The sequence below is a fragment of the Homo sapiens genome, chromosome 14, assembly GCF_000001405.40.
Source record: "Homo sapiens chromosome 14, GRCh38.p14 Primary Assembly".
Lineage (NCBI taxonomy): Eukaryota > Metazoa > Chordata > Mammalia > Primates > Hominidae > Homo > Homo sapiens.
In genome coordinates, this window is record NC_000014.9 from 87,584,319 (window position 1) to 87,606,426 (window position 22,108).

General features: G+C 39.9%; 1 long non-coding RNA gene across 1 annotated transcript in view; it reads right to left on the reverse strand.

The window, feature by feature from the left end:
- LINC02296 (long intergenic non-protein coding RNA 2296) overlaps window positions 1-22,108 on the reverse strand; it is a 268,818-nt gene that overhangs the window by 239,673 nt on the left and 7,037 nt on the right. Inside the window, exon 2 of the long non-coding RNA XR_007064294.1 lies at window positions 17,150-17,301. This is a non-coding gene — a long non-coding RNA (long intergenic non-protein coding RNA 2296). The remainder of the gene's footprint in view (window positions 1-17,149; window positions 17,302-22,108) is intronic.

A 22,108-nucleotide genomic window follows, 5' to 3' on the forward strand; every position in this document is an offset into this window, starting at 1 on the left:
AAATTTATTTTGTGCAAAAATTCCAAGCTCTTTGAAAAATGAAAAGTTCTAAAGCAAGCTTACATTCCCTGTGATGACACTGGCAAAGCAGGGGCTGAAAAATGAAAAGAGCCATCTAGAAATTATATTTATCCCTCTTCAAAATTTTGTCATTAGTCAATTACGTGGGGTTTTATTTTGTATTTCATTTATTTATCAACTTTTAGGTTCAGGGGTACTTGTGCAGGTTTGTTACGTAGGTAAACTGTGTGCTACAGGGGTTTGGTGTACAAATGATTTTGTCACCCAGATAATAAGCATAGCACCCAATAGGTAGTTTTGAAGTCTCCAAAGACAATGCAGGTGGGCTGGGCGCAATGGCTCACACTTGTAATCCCAGCATTTTGGGAGGCCAAGGAGGGCAGATCACCGGAGTTCAGGAGTTTGAGACCAGCCTGGCCAACATGGGAAAACTTCACCTCTACCAAAAACACAAAAATTAGCCAGGTGTGGTGGCACATGCCTGTAATTTCAGTACTTGGGAGGTTGAGGCAGGAGAATCGCTTGAAGCCCGGAGGCAGAGGTTGCAGTTAGCTGAGATCGCACCATTGCACTCCAGTCTGGGCGACAGAGCAAGACTCTAAAACAAACAAACAAACACAACAACAGCAACAACAACAAAAATAATGCAGCTGTCTATAGAAGAAATGGTATGGGGCACTTTACAAAATCCTGGATTTGGAGTCAAAAGACTACCAACAAGTCCAAACGTGCCTTCTCTGCCTACCAGTTACGTGACTTCTAGCAAATTACTTTTTGTCTGGGGACTTTGATTTCCTCCACTATGATGTGGGCATTATGATTGTGTCCAGTGGTCCATGTGATGCCACTAGCAATGCACTTCTATTAGGATGCATTAAGAGAACAAAACTGCTAACAGATCCAAGAAAGTGACAAGGGATTAGAAGGCTATTTTCTAATTAAACTTGGAGGGTATTCTCAGTCTGTTTAGGCTGCTGTAACACAGTATCATAGACTAGGTGGCTTACACACAACAGACATTTATTTCTCACAGCTCTGGAGGGTGGGAAGTCTAAGATTAGGGTTCCAGCAGATTCAGTGCCTGTTGAGGACCTGCTTGCTGGTTCACAGACAGACATCTTCTCATTGCTCTGGTTCACAGGTCACAACTTCTTGTGATATTCTTACAGCAAGCTAGTGGTGAGAGATCTCTCTGGGGCCTTTTTTTTATAAGGGCACAAATCCCATTTATGAAGGCTCTGCCTCATGACCTAAGCACCTCCCAAAGGAGCCACCTCCTGACCTATCATCTTGGAAGTTAAAATTTCAATGTGAATTTTGGTGGGACACAAACATTCTGACCCTAGCAGGGTTAATCATGGAATCCAGATATTGAAAGGATCCACAAGATACTCTACTAAGTGCTGATTTAAAAAGAAGCATTATACTGCCGTATGTATTCATTAACTTGATCAATAAATGTTAGTAAGATGCTTATTACACACATAAAATTAATCTTGTCTCTGCAGTTTACAAAAAAAAATATGGCATGACCACTACTTTACAAGTGCTTATAAATTCTAGTGGAAAAAAAAGAAGAAGAAATTTTAAAAATTCTAGTGGAAAGTAAGTCACACACATCTCAATAGATAATAGTTTAAAATTAAAATATTATTAATGGAACATGTAGATTTTAAAAAACTGAATAATATGCACTATGGGAACTTAGAAGAAGACATCTCCCAGCCTGAAGAAGGTAGGGATTTAGCTGGATTCTGGAGGGTGGATAAGTGAGGCAGAGACCGACTGAACATTTGCTCTAACTATTTTCTCCTCTTCCTATGCAAAAAGATGGCATTTCTCAGCCTTTCTTGCAGCTAGATGTTGTCGTGTGACTGAGCTGAGATAAATATTACGCAGGTAGAAGTGATGTGCCCCGATCCATGCCTGGTCATAAAAGATGCTACCCATTACTCCATGTCTTGGCTTTTTCTTCATTGGAAGCTCAGAATCAGGGGTCTGGTGAAGAATTATGTGGCCCCTGGGGATGAGAAAGCCACTAGATGGAATACCTCTGACTGCAAAATGACTGAATGGGAAAGATTGCCCCCTCCCAGCCCAGCCAGCTCAGTCCACCATAGACTGACATGAGAAATAGCTTATTTCATGAAGCCCCTGAGACATAGGGTTGTTTTTTGTGAAGATGCCTACCTTGAATAATATATTTTGTGAAGTAGGGCAAAAATAAAAACAGAGCAATAACAGAAGCCTAGAATGCTCAATACTTGTTTTCTCATAGTCTCAAAACTATGAGTAATCATAGTCTTGCATGTGAATATGCATAGAGTTTTGTAAAATGCAGGTTCCGATTTAGCGGGTTTGGGGTAAGACAGAGGTTCTGTACTACCAAGCTTCCAGGGGCAGGGGATGTAGATGCTTCTGGTCCACAGAGGCTCACATCTGTAATACCAGCACTGTGGGAGGTAGAGGCAGGAGAATCACTTGAGGCCAGGAGTTCAAGACCAGCCTGGGCAACATAGCAAGACCCCATCTCTAAAAAATAAAAATAAAAATAAAAATTAGCTGGGAGTTGTGGCACACACCTATAGTCCTAGCTACTTAGGAGCTATGATTGCACCACTGCGCTTTACCCTGGGTGACAGAGTGAGACCCTGTCTCTAAAATAATTAAATTAAATTAAATATTAAATGATAACACTCATGATCAGAAATAATTGCCACTTTTCTTTTTGTTTATACTAACAGAACATTTAAGGAGCTTCAATTCTGCAGCACTGTAACAAAATAATACGTATCTAAATATAGATACCTAAAGGAAAGCAAAACTTGTGAAATTAGTTCATCTTAAAGGAAATAAAGTTTAAGTAGGCTTTGGAGTGTTTTATATTATAAAGCTACTTTGACGAAAGACTGGGTGAGACCCACACACGACTATTAACATTCAGAGTAACAAGGAAATTAAGTTGCCTTTTACACTTAACTTTTTATTATTGCTTTTCCATTTCTACTTAATCATTACATCTTTTCCTAAATGAGTAGGAGAAAAAGGTAAAAATGAAAAGAGAGAGCAAGAAAATCTCCACCCAAGTCATTTCTAGGAACTGGGTACAGCAGTTTTAAATTTGCATTGTAATTACGTATAAAGAGAAATTTAATTCATTTTCTTCTCATAACTCATTTTTCAGATATAATTAAAATGACCCCAGGAAGTGGGTTAAAATAGCAGAGTCAATTTGTACAGAGTAGATTCTAGACTTTTCAGTCTTGAGTTCTTATGAGTTCTGATTCATGAAAATGAGAAAGAATGTTCTTGTCATTCTCATCTACATAAGCACAGATTAAGTATGGCTTTTTTCCCTGAAATTATCTGTTCAAAAAGGGGCTTTTGCCCCTCAAAGTACGTTATCATTTTGAAGGCAAAGAAAAGACTGAGACTTTAAAAATCTCTGCACATTTCCATATCCTACTTGGAATGCCTAAACTCTGCACATCTTTACTCCTGACTTTCTCAGGAATTATGAGCCTCCTTTGGAAATTTGTCCCAAAGAGTAATTTCCACCATATCAGTGAGTTTAATGGATCATTTTTCAGAGCTGGCATTGGTCAAGCAAAAGTTATGTGAACACTGAAATTCTGGAACATGGATGCAGAAGAGAGGAGGCACAAAGCAACAGAAGAGGGAATATCTGAGGCTATGGGACCCACAGCTCAATTTCATCTAGGTCTTCCCTCATGGGATCTATATCCTAAAGGTAGGAATGATGAGGAGGAAGTAGGGAGACATGGACTTGGTAAACCTGTCATTTCTCACAAGGTCACCATGGACAGCATAACCTTAAAACTGTACAATCAGCTTCAGGAATCCCTGAGAATGATGGCACCTCATTTCCAAGGTGGCAACACAGGCAGATAAGGTGGAGGTTCTCTATTGCTGTATCTCTGTATCCACATAGCTCATAAATGTCCTCATGACTGTGACCCAAAAGCACTCTCATGTTCTGCTATGGTACAGATGTTTTTCCCCTCTGAAACTCATGTTGAAGCTTAATCCCCAATGTGACAGCATTGAGAGGTGAGGTCTTTAAGAGATGATTGGGTTATGAAGGCTTTGTCCTTATGAATGGGTTATTATGGAAGTGGGACTGGTGATTTTGTAACAAGAGGAAAAGACCTGAGCTAGTGTGCTCATCTCTCTCTTCAACTCTCCAGGTGATGCCCTGAGCTACCTCAGACCGCTGGAGAGAGTCCTCACCAGCAAGAAGGCCCTTGCCAGATGTGGCCCCTCAACTTGGATTTCTCAGTCTCCACAACTGTAAGAAACAAATTCCTTTTCTTTATAAATTACCCAATTTTAGGTTTTCTGTTATAAGCAACAGAAAATAGACTAAGGTGTGTTCCCTTGTGATTTCCCAGATGTTCCTGCTATTAGCTGTGGCCACCAGGAGCACCTGGCATGCTTCTTCTCATTTTAGTCTTTCAAAGAAAAACTCTCCCCGGGGGGGAACTACCAAAGAGAAAAGTCAGTGACTATTCACTAGGTTCAGCCACAGTAATAGAGAGCTCTGTGCTCTCCGAAGTTTTGACATCCCAATGAGTCAAGCCAGGGACAACGCAGGTTACCTAAATTCCCTAGATTACACCCAAAGGTGAACTATGCTCAATTCTAATCACTGTTTGGTTACTAAAATAATCCTGTAATCCAAAGCACAGCATAACACAGAAGTTAGTAGTTATTAAACCATTCTATTACCCAATTACACCTTACCTGGAAGATTTTTTTGCTACCCACCACCTAAAATACTTTTAAATGGCTCCTCTGTTTTTAGAAAAATCAACATTCTTAGACAAAAATTACTTACCATGGCACATACGACTCTTCTTCCCATTCTCTGGTGTCCTGTACTGTGGCAATACTGAAATACTTTGATTTTCCTAAACTGGCTCTATTCCCTCATGTCTCCTACTATACCCCTTTTTAAAAATGTCTTTAACTTTTTGAGAATAGACCTATTTTCTCATTCATCAATCAATAAATATATTCTACAAACATATATTAAACATCTTAATACCCGATAAATTACTCATTACTGAATATTCAAAGTGCTGGGGATTCAAAGCCAAATAAGATCTTCTATTAGCAAATATGTGTTGTAGTACTATGTGCCAGGCACAGTCTCTGCACCAAAAGAACTTAAATCTGCCAATGCCCTCAGCCAAAGACCACCAGGAAGATAATCAAAAATTGGGTTTACCTACTTGTTACAACAAGAAAAAGCATATTTATGGGAAACCACGGTGTTCAGTTAAGTAGAGCTGGGGGAAACTTGTCATTGGATTTGGGCTTGTGTTTTAGGGGGAGAGTTCAAGGAAGTGGGGTTTTGCTCTGGGTTGTATGTTGTCAGAAAGTGGGGATAATCTTATATTTGATATTTTAATCATTCTTATCTATAAAACAGGAGGAACAAATCACAGCTGGAGCTGGTACTTGGTATCAATAAAAAAAAAAAAAGGCAGTCACTTGGCCAAGGCGGATGGATCATTTGAGGCCAGAAGTTCACGACCAGCCTGGCCAACATGGTGAAACCCCATATCTACTAAAAATATGAAAATTAGCTGGGCATGGTGGCATGTACCTGTAGTCCCAGCTACTTGGGAGGCTGAGGCAGGAGAATCGCTTGAATCCGGGAGGCAGAGGTTGCAGTGAGCCAAGATCATGCCACTGCACTCCAGTCTGGGCAACAGAGTGAGACCCTGTCCACCCCCCGCAAAAAAAGCAGTCACTCACACTATCCAAGTTACAGTGGTATTTGGTCATTTTATAGTTTGGATAATATTCTTATTTTTCTCTAGCCGTAGACATTCATGATTACAGAGTGGCCTTTTAAAAATCTGTCTATCACAGTTATAGGGGCATGTCTGATGTTGATGTTCCTCAGACCAACAAAATATACTGATTTTTTTCTATTGAATGAAATCAGGACCAAGCTGCCAAGTCAGCTGTTATCAACACCAGGACCCCACTGACAGTGCCAGGCTATTTCCTTGGCATTTGATGCCAGACTGGGAAAGATGCCTTTGCTAGAAGCTTTCATAGCACCTGAAATGTAAACTGTGATCTACACTTATATCCCCCTTCAGATATAAGTGGGATCAAAGGCATAACCACAGGTGCTTCGGGTGCTGCCAGCCCTCAGCTGTTGGCCCCATTCAAGGATTGCCTCAGCTAAGACAGCCTCACCCAAAGTCATGGCCATTTCCTGAGGAGACTGTCATCAAATGACTGGTGACTGTGGGTGTACAAAGGCCCTGCACACTTGCCCCAACTTAAAACAGCTCTGCAGGGTTATCTTGTCATTGGACCATGCCATCGGCTTACTTGAGGTTTTCAGTGAGAGTCTATCACAACTTGTCTTCCCTCTCTGCCTACTCCTACTCCCATCCCTTCCCTTGCACAGGCATTGATCCCCAAATCCCTCCCTAAACCTCTTGCACTCTAATTCCTATCTCAGAATTAGTCTTCTGGCAAACTGAGCCTGGAACAGTACCTCTTACACATCTCTATCACATCCTTGTAATTTTTTGGAACAATCATCTGTTACTAGATGTGAGCTCCCCAGCATCTAACACAGCATCGACTTCGTAGTAGTTCGCAATGTATTACGAGTAAACAAAATCCCAGGGAAAAGAAACTAGAAAGTGATGTATTCAACAGGATACCATATGAGGAAGGAAAATGAGGATGGGTAAACAGGAAACAGAAAGACTTAAAAAGATCAGCATGGTAGGCAGAATAAGCCCCACCACACACACACACACGCTGACACAAATAAATGTCTGTGTCCTAATCTTCACAATCTGTAAATATGTTAGGTTACATGGCAAAGAGGAATTAAGGTTGCAGATAGAATTAAGTTGACTAATCAGCTGAGTTTAAGGTAAGGAGATTATACTAGATTATCAGAGTTGGCTCAGTGTTATCACAAAGGCCCTTGAATGTAGGAGAGAGGCAGAAGGACAGAGGCAGAGAAAGAAATAATAATAGAAACAGGATCAGACACTTGCTTCATTGCTGGCTTTAAAGATGATGAAATGGCACCATGAGCCAAGAAATATGAGTGGCCTCTAGAAGCTATGAGAGACAAAGACATAGATTCTTCCCTAGAACCTTCAAAAAAGAATGTAGCCCTGCTGCTTGCAGAAGGGATTTTATCCCAGGAAGTCTCAGATTGGATTTCTGATCCATAGAACCATAAGGTAATAAATGTGTGTGGTTTAAACCACTGTCTGTGGTAAATTGTTATGGAAGAAATCAAAGGCTATTGGAAGTAGAATGAATAGCTACAAATATTTGCAGCAATGGATGCTTTAGAATTTTTACAGATGTGGGGTTAAGGGCCTGTGGTCTAATGAAGGAAATTTCTCTAGAACTAGAGTGTGCAAACTCACTGTTCTCACAGAGACTGTGATCATATGGGATACCTCGAAACCACTTTCGCACAGCATAAACACTTACATTTAAACCAAGAATGCACGTTTATTTGAGATATGGAGTGTTTTGATGGTAATCATGAGAAAACTACAGCCCTTCTCCAAGCTACACCTTAATGTCTCCCAATTATTTTACTGCTTTCCTAAGTGGAAGGAGAAATAGAATGACCATGTGTTACTCTAAGAGCTCACATGAGTGGTGCTTTGTAGTTCACAGAATATTCTCTCCACTATGTGACTCAGAAGGACAGAATTAGGATGAGAAGGTGAAAGTTATAAGGTTGCAGATTACAGATAGATAGATTGATGGATCTTTTGCTAATGAATCCCCTTTTGCTAGTGAATGCAATTTTTTATGCTCCTTACAACTTGCAAGATTTGTAGAGTGAATGAGAGAAAAGAGAAGTATTCTAGAGAATACAAAAGCTGAATGAGAGAGCTATATATATATATATATGCTATATAAAAGCTATATATTAGTTCCTACATATATATATGTATATACATATATATATGTATATACATATATATATACATATATATATGTATATACATATATATACACATATATATATGTATATACATATATATATACACATATATATATGTATATACATATATATATACATATATATATACACATATATATATGTATATACATATATATATACACATATATATATGTATATACATATATATATACACATATATATATGTATATACATATATATATATGTATGAACTAATAGTTAGCTTTTCCCCCAAATAAGGGAGCTATTTTTTGAAGGACTATGTTACACATTCAAGGACAGTTGATATCTAGTTGAGGGGGTTAAAGGAGGACGTAACGTCCTCTTCAATTTCTTCCTTCAAGAAATTGAAGAAAGTAATCAGCCATGTTGGTTCATGTCTGTAATCCCAGAACTTTGGAAGTCCAAGGCAGGAGGGCTGCTTGAACCCAAGCGTTTGGGATCAGCCTGGGCAACAAAGCAAGACCCTGACTCTATGAATAATAAGAACAATAATTTTAAAAATAAAAAAGGAAGTTGAAGAAAGTTCATCTCTGGTGGTTTCTTCCAATATTGATATGGAAAGATTAGAGTTTTTTTAATGCGTGAGACAAGCCTAAGATGCTTTGTGGAGCCCCACCTGTCATATACCATGAAGAAAGAGAAAACATTCAAGCATTTCTAAAAGGCAAACAGAATACTTTTATAAGATTTCAAGAATGGTGCCAGTTAGTTAAATAAAGTGAAACTCACTTGTGCCATTTTAATGTTTACCCAAAGTGGTATTTGTCTTTAAGTTTCACATCTAATGTAAACACCAGAAGTCAAATGGTAATAAAGATTTCTTTAACTGAAAGTGCCAGAAAACACTAACGTGCCACACAGTTGATTCACTGGAGACTAGCTTTTTCTCCTTTTAAATTAGGTGTCCCAGTTACTCTTCAGTCTTACTGAAAATTATAAAATGTCTAAAATGTAATTTACAGTGTCTGTAAATGTAAAAAAGCATCTGGTCAACCCTGAAAGAATTTAGGAGGCAACACAGTGCAGTGAAAATGCTGGAGCATTTGAATTTAGACAATCTGGCTTTGAATCTCAGCTTCTTAGTGGCTGCAACAATGGGGAGGTCACATCACTTTTCTTAATCTCAGTTTTATCATCTGGAGAATGGATTCAATATACGTCATGCCCTTCTTCCTTTATAGAGTCTTGAGCCTCAGAGGATATCATGCTGTGAAAGTGCACAAAATGAAAATGCATATTAAATGCAAATGCATATTAAATGGTTACTCCTGGTAACCACTCATTCGAGTTGCTATCCAGTTTGTAAAATATTCTGGTGTAATGCTCCTCAAGACAGGGAGGCGAGAGCTTCTATTCCATGCTAACACCATTACGAGTGCATCACCAGTGCTCCAACAGTTCACAAAATGTTATCATACTGCTTCATTCAGCTCTGGGGAGAGAAAAAGATTGTGCTACTTGTTTCATTAACTGAAATCTTGCCCATCAGATATTAAATATCATAAATAAAAATACATGCACAGAAATGTGAAGAAACATTTCTTTACAATTGCTAATGAATCTTGTATGTTCCTTACGACTTACAAGATTTATAGAGTGAATGAGAGAAAACAGAAGTATTCTAGAGAATATAAAAGCTGAATGAAGGCCAGAAACAGCCAGCCATCAGGTGCTGCTATAGTTTGGATATTTGACCCTCCAAAGCTCATGTTGAAATTTGAGCCTCAACGTTGGAGGTGGGACCCAGTGGAAGGTGTTTGGGTCATGGGGGCAGATCTCTAATGACTGTCTTGGTGCTGTCCTCATGATAATGAATGAATTCTCACTCTGTTAGTACCTTCAAGAACTAACAGAGGAGCCTGGAACTAAGAGGAGCCTGGAACTAAGAGGAGCCTGGAACCATCCTCCCCTCTCACTTACCGTCTTTCTTGCTATGTGATCTCTGTCAATACCAGTTCCCCATCCCCTTTTACCATAAGTGGAAGCAACTGGAAGCCCTCACCAGAAGCAGATGCTGGTTCCATGCTTCTTTGTACAGCGAGCAGAATCATGAGCCAAACAAACCTCTTTTATTTATAAATTTCCTAGCCTCTGGCATTTCTTTATAGCACTGAAAATGGACTAAGACAGGTGGTCACCCATGAATGGTGAAAGAATGATCTCTCCTGCATTCACAATAAAGTGGAAAATAAAAATATCTTTAACTTTTTATCATATAATAAAGATAGATATAGTCATCTTGAAAAACAAATGTTTAAACCTTAGAGATAAGGCTAAATCTTTTGAAACCCATCCTCCATCTTGACCTTCCTCCCAACCCTTCTACAGGCACCACTCTTAAGCTCAGTGTCCATGATTGTAGACCCCTTTTTCAGCACTTGAATAGCTACGTCACATACACCTACTCAGACATCATATTGGTGTTGTTTTAAGGGTTTTTTTCTTAACATAAATGGCACCATACTAACCACATCATTCTGAAACATGAGAATGTAGACTCTAAGTTCAACCTGCCAGACTGAAATATCTCAACTTAATTTAATAGATGTTTGACTTGAGGAAATTGCTTAGTTTCTCTCATTCTCAGTGTCCTCATCTGTATCAATATTATAACCTACCTCATGAGATTGTAATAAGGATTACATGAGCCTATTTAGATAAAGGAGTTAGATTAGTGCCTAGCAGATCACATAAATTACACTTGCGTGGAAAAACCATGATGACAAGACCCAAACATAATATCAAAAAAATAAAACCACTTAAATGAAAAAGAAAGTCAATGTGAAATCACGCAGACACTCCATGTGAAGGATGACAGAAGTGTGAATTCCCCGAGGAAGAAGCCATATTGACTTAACTGATCTGGAACAGGAAATAAACAAAGTACCAATGGGTAGTAAATTAGCAGAATGTTAAACATGGTGTCAGAGGGGAAGAAGAAAACACACTGCAAACCATAGGGTAGGGTTTGGATTTTATTCTAAGGGCAAGAGCTTCTTACTAAAGTGCTTTAAGCGAGGGAATTACCAGACATCATAAGTTAGCAGCTGGGACAGACTCCTGTCATGAAAGATAGATTAACAAGAATAAAACAAGTTAGTTTATTAATGTGTGCAGTGTGCATCTCAATGAAAGGTAACTCAAAGCAGTGGCTTAGAACTCTGGCTTATATATGATCTCTAATAACAAACAATAAATTTTAGAGAAGTAGTAAGACAAAGGAAAGGAGTTCTAGGCTTCCAGAGGCAGGAAACTGTGGAAAGGTAAATATATGGGAGAAAATTAATGGAGTCAGGCTTGTTTGCAGATTCCTCTGGTGTCATATGTGAACTGATAAGAATTGTCTCCAGTAATTGACTTCTGTCCTTCCTGGTAGAGAGGGGAGAGGAATACCTTTCAAATTTATGCACTACATTTAGGAAAATAGGGAGAAAGAAGAGAGCTTTTCTGCATCTGTTTCTTCTTAATTGTTTTTAGCTCAACAACCCTTTATGTTTTAGGAAGGCATAGCGGAATTGAGGTAAGTGGAAGCTGAGAAACCAGTTAGGAAGCCTTTACAGCAGTCCAGATGAGAGGCTGCTATTTGACTTCAAGATAGAATTAAAATTGGAGAAAGGTGGTCATATTTTAGAGCTAAAAGCAACTTGCTCATAAATTAGATATCACCAGTGAGAGGAATAGGCTATTTTGGTGAAGACACTGGGGTAATGGAGACGTTAGTTACCAAATGAGGAAGAGGAAATTAGAAGTAGGCTAGAGAAAAACAAAACAAAAAACAGGATGGTCCAGGACTGAGCCCCATGGCACTACAACCTTAATAGATTGAACAGAAGAGACAGAGCCAAAGGTTAGGGTGAATAGCAGGTGAGTGTCCTGCCATGGATGTTTTGGATATAAAGTGCTTCATAACAGGAGTGTTCAACTATGTTAAAAGTTCCAGTGAGTACTAATAAGAAGAGCACAGATAAATCACCACAGATTTGGCAACCTGGATGTAATTGATGGCAGAAGAGTAGACATGACAGAAGTCTTACTGGAGTTTGGGGAAGAAAAGGGGAAATGAGAAGAAAGGGGAGACAACAGTTGAATCACCTTGAAGACATTACTCTGTGAAAGAGGTAGAGAAATAAGTTCATCCCTGGAGAAGAATATGAAGTCAATATATATTTTCTTAATATGGAGGACTTGAGAGTGTGTGTATATGGTGATGCACAGGAAATAGGAGTAGACAATAGGAAAAGAGAAAAAGCAAAGCCGTTGAGGAGATGATAGAAGACAGGATCCTGAACACAGATAACAGATTGGTCTTAGAAGCAGTGTCAAACTCCCTGTAACAGGAGAATGCATTTAAGTATCTGTGGAGGTAAGGTTGATAAATTGGGTGGTGGGAATATGACAACAGTTGTCTTAGTCCGTTTTCTGCTGCTGTAACACAATGCCAAAGAATGAGATATTTATAAGGAACAGAAGTGCATTTGTCTTACAGTTCCAGAGGCTGGGAATTCTAAGAGCATGGCATTGACCTCTGGTGAGGGCCTTGTTGCTGCACAGTTCCATAGCAGGAGGGCAAGTAAGCATGTGAAACAGAGAGAGCAATGGGGCCAAACTTTTTTGTTAATCAGGAGCCCATTTTCAGGGTAGCTAACTCACTGTAACAATAAGGGCACTAATCCCTTCATGAGAGAAGATCCCTCATAGCCTAATCACCTCTTAAAGGTACCACCTCTTAATGCTGTTGTAACAGCAATTAAGTTTTTAACACTTAAATTTCTGGGGACACTTAAAGCCATAGCAGTAGTCTTGCCTCATCATCTTTATTTTCAAGTGTTTACAACTTGACCAGCCAACTATGTATAAGCTTCACAAGAGGAGGTAGTTCTAATTTGCACACTTCTCCTTTACCCTACTTATCTTCAACCAGAACCTAACACAGCCTTCATAAGGGCTAATGTTAGCCTATTTACAGCTGAAAACTCCAACATGCTTCCTTAAAGACCTGAGACCTGCCTCCTGTTCCATATCCCCAGGGGAGTCATTTTAGGGTCGTATGTTCTCTAATTTTCCAACCTTTACGTGCATTATGACCTCTACCTAGAATGTTCTTCATCACCCCGGATAGGTCCTTCCCTGAGCACAGCTTCCACTGCAGAAAAGCTTTCCTAAGGCTCCCAGTCTGGTACTAAGGGCATGCTTATTGACCATGGAGTTGCATATGTTTCCAAAGTAGTCTTCACCATGCATTCCTCTGGAGGATTCTCTTCACAAAGGCATCAAGTAAATAATGCCGCATTGTCACTGCCTGATGGTATACTTTATTCTCCCAAAAACAGAAGCAGTGTGAGAGACGAACCTCTGTATTGCTCATTATTAAACCCCAAGACCAAAAGCAAGCATAAAGCAAATGCTTCTTCAATGTTGAATAAATGACTAGCATTAAGAGAAAAAAAGAATGACATATAATTATTGGCATGGCTTGGATGTGTATCCCATGCAAATCTCATGTTGAAATGTTATTTCCAATGTTGGAGGTGGGGCCTGGTGGGAAGTGTTTGGGCCAGGGCAATAGATCCCTCATGAATGGCTTGATGCCCTTCCTGTAGCAATGAGTTCACAGGAGAAGTGGTTGTTTAAAAAAGACTATCTCCTCCTCCTTTCTCTCTGGCTTCCTCTCTCTCTCCATGTGATATGTTGGCTCCCCTTCACCTCCTGCCATGAGTAAGAGCTTCCTGAGGCCTCACCAGGAGCAGATACCAGTGCCATGCTTCCTGTACAGCCTACAGAACCATGAGCCAAAATAAACCTCTCTTCTTCATAAATTACCCAGCCTCAGGTATTCCTTTACAGTGACATAAAAGGAATGTAGAACTCTAGTCACATACAAAATTGATAATGTAATCTTAATTAGGTATTTAGGCTTGGGAAAATGAACTAAAGTAAGGACACTCAGTAAAACATTGTAAATGGTTAGCTATAATGAAGGAAAATATAGAAAGCACACATAATTTTTTTTTTCTTTTAAAAAGTTTTCTTCCATTTCCAATTTTTCTGCAGTAAACAGTTTTCATTTTTATAAAAAAAAAATATAATTTGAAACACAAAATCTCCATTGTACTAGTCCTTTCTCACACTGCTGTAAAGAACTACCTGAGCCTGCGTAATTTATAAAGAAAAGAGGTTTAATTGACTCACAGTTCCACAGCCTGCACAGGAGGCATGGCCGTGGAGGTCTCAGGAAACTTACAATCATGGAGGAAGGTGAAGGGGAAGCAGGCACATCTTACATGGCCAGAGAAGGAGGAAAAGAGAGCAGGAAGAGGTGCTACACACTTTTAAACAACCAGATCTCATGAGAACTCACTCATTATCACAAGAACAGCAAGGAGGAAATCTGCCCCCATGATCCAATCACCTCCCACCAGGCCCCTCCTCCAACACTGGGGATTACAATTTGACATGAGATTTGGATGGGGACACAAATCAACCCATATCACCCACTTTGCTCACCTTGGACACCTTCTGTAAGCCCATTTAATGCCTCTCTACCCCTACGTGCTTCTCTCCCTTATATTTCATTCTGCATTTATTGCTGCATTTCACCCCTGAGGTGCTAGTATAGAACTTCTCCAGGTCTTTATTCTGACTTTTCTGGCCTTGCTGTCTTTATTGGCCTAGGTCAACGTGCCTGCTGGTGTGCCCAGTCTCCAGAACCTGCTGTGGAGCAAGCAGCCCCCTACGGGCACTCCAACCCCAAAAAGGCCTTCTCTCTCTCAGGTTCCAGCAGCCCAAATAGTGAAGAGGCCCTGTCTCAGGGTTTGGTAAAGCACTGGAGAGCACATTTATATGTACAAAGTGAGTTTGCTTTCCCACACATCTTCTCAGCATTTACCTAAAGATGAACAACGGGGATTCTCTTTTACCTACTATATTAAATTGCAAAATTCTATCTGGTAAACTCTCTGTAGAGAGCACATTCAATTTAGTTACAAAGCAGAGGTTATAATATGTAGCAGAACTAACTGAAGAGCAAAAGTCCCAATGCCAGGGAAGAAAACAGGAAATTTCATATATCATCTATCCTAGGAGATTTTCCCACAGTGTAGAGTTACCTTGCAGTCAATAGACAGTAAAAAGAATAAATTATTTTTTAAAAAAACTTGAGAAACTTATTTGTATCTCCTGTGCCACTAAGGTGAGTTAAAAATGCTATTTCAAGCTTTCTAAAATTTGTTTTAATGGAGTATATGGTTACTAACATACATTTTTATTTTGCATTTTCACATGAGTACTGATGGTCTAGTTTTATTTCTATTTTAAAGACATGGTCTTGCCTTTGTATTTGTGTTTTAAATTACAACCTAAAGAAAAAAATGAAATATTTAGCAGCATTAAAAGAAACCACTTTCTTCAACACATACAAACTCAGAAAGTATTGTTCTTGTTTTTAACCTCAAAGACATATTTTGGCAGAGAGACCCCATCACCAAATAGACATATCGATGGCCTTCCCTGGTCCAAGAACATGTGTGAGGAAGATTTTTGCTTTCTCCCCAATAATTTCTATATTAGAATGAATTTTAGCCAACTGATTTCCATTCCTCAGACCATCTCCCAACTCAAATAATCCTTCCAGGAGCAGATTTTTAGAAGTGAAAATGCCCAAAGGAAATCCCCCCCCAAAAAAAATGAGATAGCCAAGAGAATACTTGATGCAGAGCAATAAATCCCTACACTCTAAACTGCAAACAGAATGCCTTCAAAAAAGCCATCAGCAGCTGGAGCCTTCATATTTAGAATAATGTTTATAAATGATTTTATCTAATTCTAATTATCATGCATTCACAGCAATCTGTTAGCTTTTAGCCAGGTTAGACATCCTCACAAGCTGGAGAGGACCCTCAAATCACCAGAGAACCCAAAATAAAGGGCAAGTTAGAAAAATCCCTGCCATGCATTCCTCCCCTGCTGATCTCCAACATATTGTGGGGAGAAGCAGCTGCCTGGAGCAGAAGCTGCTGTCAGAGGGGGCTCCTCCTGCAGTGCCCATAGCAGCCACACTCAGGAGCTTCACTGAGCACTGTTCAGGGACCGTTTCAACCACAAGGCTCTTGCATCAGCTCTGCCTTCACTGAGACTCTGCCCCATTCTGTCATCAGTTCCCTGCTGACCACTCCCAAGAGGGCATGTGACTGCTGGAGAAAGACTTTTCAGAATCAAAAAAGGCAGATGGGCAATCCAAAGAACATTTCTCATTTAAGAACAAAGCAACAACAAACTTTATTGTTCTACTACCAACCAAAGACCTGCATATTATTGTCAAAGTTTCATCCTGCCTTTGTGATTCTCCATTTTCCTTCAGCTCTATAGTCTTTGAAGTCCACTTCGAAAAAAGCCTAACACAAGTATTGTCTGGATGCTCCATGAGAGTTTGAATCTGCCTACATTTCCCCATTCTCAATCGAACAAAATCCCTTCTAACACTGATAAAATGGGGCCATTCTTGGCATGGTGTGATACTCAAGGAAGACACAAGTCAAACAAATAAAGAGCATTAAGAAACAATTTAAGCATTGACTGAAGTCTTGAAGAGTGGAAAGCATAGTTTACATTTTCATGACACACATAGCAAAATTTCCTAAATATCCTCTCTGCTCATCTATTTCCCCCAAATCTTCCCAGCAGCTGCTCAACAATCTCTACCCCAGAAACTTACTTTTCCAGATTTGGTTTGTCTGCCTTTTTAAATGTGGATAAATCTAGTCTTTCTCAGCTACTCCCAATTCTGCAGCTTTAGACATCTACTCTGATCATCCAAAAAGAACCATGGCCAGACAATTGGCTGGACACCAAGTAACTCATTTCCCCCACAACCCCACCCCATCTCTGTTAAAAAGCAGAGGGATGGGAGGTTTGAATATTTATGCATCACTAGTGTTGTCCTTGTTACAAGCAGATGAGAAACCCAACTAATTTGAACCAGTCCTGATTTCTTTCAATGTCTTCCCTCCCTCCTTGTCTCCTTCCCTCTCCCTTCCTTCCTTCTTTTATTTTTTTTTCTTTCCCTCCCCAAACTCATAAATCATCAAATATTACTGCTGGAATATTCCTTACAAATCTTCTGGTGCAACTCCTCCTGAGACCCAAGGCAGCATTGTGTCCAAGGTCTCCAGCCATTCATCTCCGGCTAAGCAGTGACTGGAGACCTGGCTTGTGTCTCCAGATCCTGTGCTTGTTCCATTCTCATTCCATTACACCTTATTACCCTAAAGAAAAAAAAATGGCAACAAAACAGGTTTGTGTCAAGAATTATTTGTAATCTGTGTTCTCAGGGATAACCTGGGATTTGTACACATTCTGCTGTTTACGTATACCTTCTACAACTATATTACTACATAATGAAAATGAAGTTCAGAATGACAGTCCTCAGGTACTATAAATTTTCCAGGACAAAAAGAAAGGATTCATTTGTGCTTCCTATAATGCCCTTGTTTTTAAAAAGGGTCTCAACATTAATTGAAAGAAACAGTTTCCCGCATAAATTTCTGTAAACTAGAAAAGGCAATTAATCACATATCCTTTCCATGAGTATCTTGATTCCTTGAGGGCTTATGAGGTAATGATGCTATAATCACTTTATAGAGGACACCTCACTTGAATTGGTTTCCAAGTATTCAATATCTTGCAATATTAGGACCTCCAATAAAAGGAGACTGAAACTAACCACAGTCCTACCTCCCTCCACCTCTCTCTACACACTCAAGGAAGTGTCCACAAGGGCAGAAATAACATATCCTTTATCCAAGAAACCTTAATTATCCACCACCTCCAGTGTCCAGTTCAGCCCACTTCAGAATCTATCTAGTAATGGAGTAAGTGGCCATTTTGAAATCAAAGCATGATCTTCAGACATTGAATTCTGAAAAAAAAATTCAAGAGAATTAAGGTTTCTTGGATAAGAATATGTGAATTATTTTTGGAAAAAGAAAACAAGGAATGGAGCAAAGAATCTGAAAGGGCAGAAAGGGGAAAAGAAATATCTGTGAATTGGTAAAAATTGATTATTGATTGTTAAGTGCAATTGTTACTTCAGGGCAACATTCAGAGTTTCCTGGCATGTGACAGGCATTTTGTCCCCCATTTCTGAGTGACACGGTGCCATCAAGCCCACTGTGGCTGGAATCTCAGGCCATATTGGCAGCAGACAGCAGGGCACTCAGTCCTGAAAATATAAAAGCTCAAGGCTTGAAGACTATTCAGTTAGTTCCAGTGAAAATCTTCTCTCCATTTCAGTCTACAACAAGGAAGGGCTGGGTCATGCTCACCCACTCAGAACATGGGAAGTGCCACTCTCCCTCTTTATGAGCTGGAATTTCTTCATCTCTAAAGCAGAAATATAATGATAATACCTACCATATAGGCTTGCTGTGAGGATTAAATATTAAATGTGGCCACTAGTAAGTGCTGTAAAAGTGTTAGCAATTATTTGTTATTATCTGCCCTCAATTATCAATATAGCTGTTCTGTGCTGCCCCAAACAGAGCTTTCATCCCTAAGCTTGTGAAGTGCCTAAAGAAAGTTTGAGACAAATAAAGTCTTAGTCTCTCTCTCTCTCTCCCTTCTTCCCTTTTCTTCTTTTATTTCTCTTCTTCTTAATAGATTTAGGTGAAATGACTTCCCATTTCTTCAATGCTTCAATTCATTTAAAATGTCATCCACACATAGGAACTGTCCTGTCTACCCTTTCAGTGTCAACATCCTGGGCAAGATCTAATGCTTAGAAGGAACCAGGGCACCACTGTCCTTACAGGTCATGTTGAAATCCAATGCAATGAAGGTCAAAGCAAGAAAGCCAAGGTTTGAGAACGTGGCTTATGTGGTCAGTGAGATGCCACCAAATCAAGAGTACAGGCATATTCCAAGTTCCTAAGATCAATTGCCTGAGATCCACAAAAGGCTGAGGAAGGCAGGATCCAATCAGGCATGAAAGTTGTCAAAGTGAAAATAGAGTCGCTAATGTAAAAAGCACAAAAAAGCCCTGACAAACACAGCCAGGGAAGACCCTGAAGAGAGGGCCCTCATGAAGAAAGGGTTTTGTTGTTATACATTATAACAACAGAAGACCCTACCCTATGAAAAGTATAACCTTATGCAAAGGTCATTGCAGCCGTACACAACAATACTCCTATGAGAACATCTGCCCAGCAACTGCCTGTGCAGTCTCAGACTAGAGTGACCTTTATTATTGCTCTCTGTAGCCAAGATCATTATTTCAAAACAGTTATATAATCCTCCTTATTTTTCCATCCAAACACTTATCTTTTACCTCCCGGAAAACACATAGTTTACTGACATGTAAGCTATGTCATTACATAGTTTACATATAACTATGTAACCATTACAGCACTCTATTGTCAAATAAGCATGTTTTCTTTTACAGAACCTCTCTCTGTTTGTTATTTAGGATGACACAGACCAGACAAAGTTTAATATGCCAAACTACCAGGAAGGACTGAAAGAGCTCCCTCCAATTGTCCTAGGATAATGCTGCAGCCTATAGTTCATGAGTATGTGCCATCAACGGAAAGTACCAACTCCTCCTAAGGCAGCTCCCATGGCTGGCTCTCAGCCACTAAAGTTTGGATTTATAATGTCATGTTAAATTCTAAGAAATTATGAGGTATCTTCAACTTTTTCATGAGGGGGATTGAAATCTGGTCACTCTGTATAAAAACAAACAAACACAAAACAACAGTAGATACTGCTCAGGTGTTCATGGTCCCGGCCCCCTGAGATCTGAGGCAGTCAGGCCCACAGCTAAAGGAGAATATTAGAAGTTGTTTAAGAGGGACATGTGCTGGTCAAGAGGATTTGCCTTGGAGTCAGACAGTCCAGGGTTGGAGTCATGGCTTCTCCATTTACTGACAATGTAGCCTCTGATAAATTTATTATATAAAATGGAACAATAAGGTAAATATCACATTAATACTGTTGAGTATGTGAAATAAAATATTTTATGTGAAAGTGCTTAGTAGCATGCCTGGCTGAGTCAGTGGTCCACACACAAATACTGTTACTGCCACTTGAAACCAGGCACCATTTGGAAGCAGAGAGAAGCCCTCACCAGATAATTTAACTTGCTGGCACATTAATCTTGGACTTCCCAGTCTCAGAACTGTGAAAAACAAATTTTCTTCTTTATAAATACTGAGTCTCAGGTATTCTGTTACAGCAGCACAAAACAAAGTCCCTGGACTGAAATAAATTTGGGATGCAAATTTATTTTAAGAAAGGCACTGAGTTGGGCACATGGATTATATGAAAAGGGTTAAGAGAGCTTTCAACCTATAGTATATCATTATCTAGCTGGATTATCTCTTACTATCTTCTCTTCTCTTTGATTTTTCTCGCTCCTTTCTCTTCTCTATCTCTTTTTCTCTCTCTCTCTGTCTCTAAACACACACAAATACTACATATGCACATGCATGTATACACACACACACACACATATGCATGTATGTTGAAAAACAGAAGGTAAATAACATTTCAAACTGACAGAGAGGCAGACAGAAAAAAACCCTGGATAAAAAAGACAGTCTCATAAGTGGAGGTTTGTAAATTTTCCTCCAAAAAGCAGAATAAATAATTCATTAAAAAGGGTAAGAAAATAGTAAGATTTTTCTGGCCATGTATGGCCAGTCTCTACTCCCAGCTTTTCCTCATGTCAGCAACAGGGAGTCAAATAAGAGAACTGGGGAGAAACTTATCAAATATTGCTCCCCACCTCTGTGCTTGTTCCCCAAGGAAATCTTAGAATGCTACCCATGTGTATTAGTCCATCTTCATGCTTCTGATAAAGACATATCCAAGACTGGGCAATTTATAAGAGAAAGAAGTTTAATGGACTTACAGTTCCACGTGGCTGGAGAAGCCTTACAATCATGGCAGAAGGCAAGGAGGAGCAAGTCACATCTTATATGGATGGCAGCAGGCAAAGAAAGAGGTTGTTCAGTGAAACTCCACATTATAAAGCCATCAGATCTTGTGAGACTTATTCACTATCACAAGAACAGCATCGGAAAGACCTGCCCCCATGATTCAGTCACTTCCAGCCAGGTCCCTTCCACAATACATGGGAATTCAAGATGAGATTTGAGTAGGGACACAGCAAAACCATATCATTACACTTCTGGCCCCTTCCAAATCTCATGTCTTCACATTTCAAAACCAATCACGCCTTCCCAACAGCCTTCCAAAGTCTTAACTCATTTTAGCATTAACTCAAAAGTCCACAGTCCAAAGCCTCACTTGTGACAAGGCATGTCCCTTCTGCCTATGAGCCTGTAAAATCAAAAGCAAGTTAGTTACTTCCTAGATACAATGGGGGTACAGACATTGGGTAAATACAGCCATTCCAAATTAGAGACATTGGCCAAAAGAAAGGTGCTACAGGCTGGCCCCATGCAACTCCAAAATCCAGTGGGGACGGCAAATCTTAAAGCTCCAAAATTATCTCCTTTAACTCCATGTCTCACATACAGGTCACACTGATGCAAGAAGTGGATTCCATGGTCTTGAGTAGCTCCATCCTTATGACTCTGCAGGGTACTGCTTCCTCCCAGCTGATTTTATGGGCTGGTGTTGAGTGTCTGTGGCTTTTCCAGGTGCACAGTGCAGGCTGTCAGTGTATCTATCATTCTGGGGTCTGGAAGTTGGTGGCTGTCTTCTCACAGCTCCACTAGGCAGTGCCCCAGTAGGGACTCTGTGTGGGGGCTCTGACCCCACATTTCTCTTAGGTACTGCCCTAGCAGAGGTTCTCTATGAGGGCCCCACCCCTGCAGCAAACTTCTGCCTGGACATCTAGGCTTTTCCATACATCCTGTGAAATCTAGGTGGAGGTGCCCAAACCCCAATTCTTGACTTCTGCTTACTGGCAGGCTCAACACCACATGGAACCTGCCAAGGCTTGAGGCTTGTACCCTCTAAAGCAACAGACTGAGCTGTACCCTGGACCCTTTTAGTCACGGCTGGAGCAGGTGACATGCAGGGCACCAAATTCCTAGACTGCACACA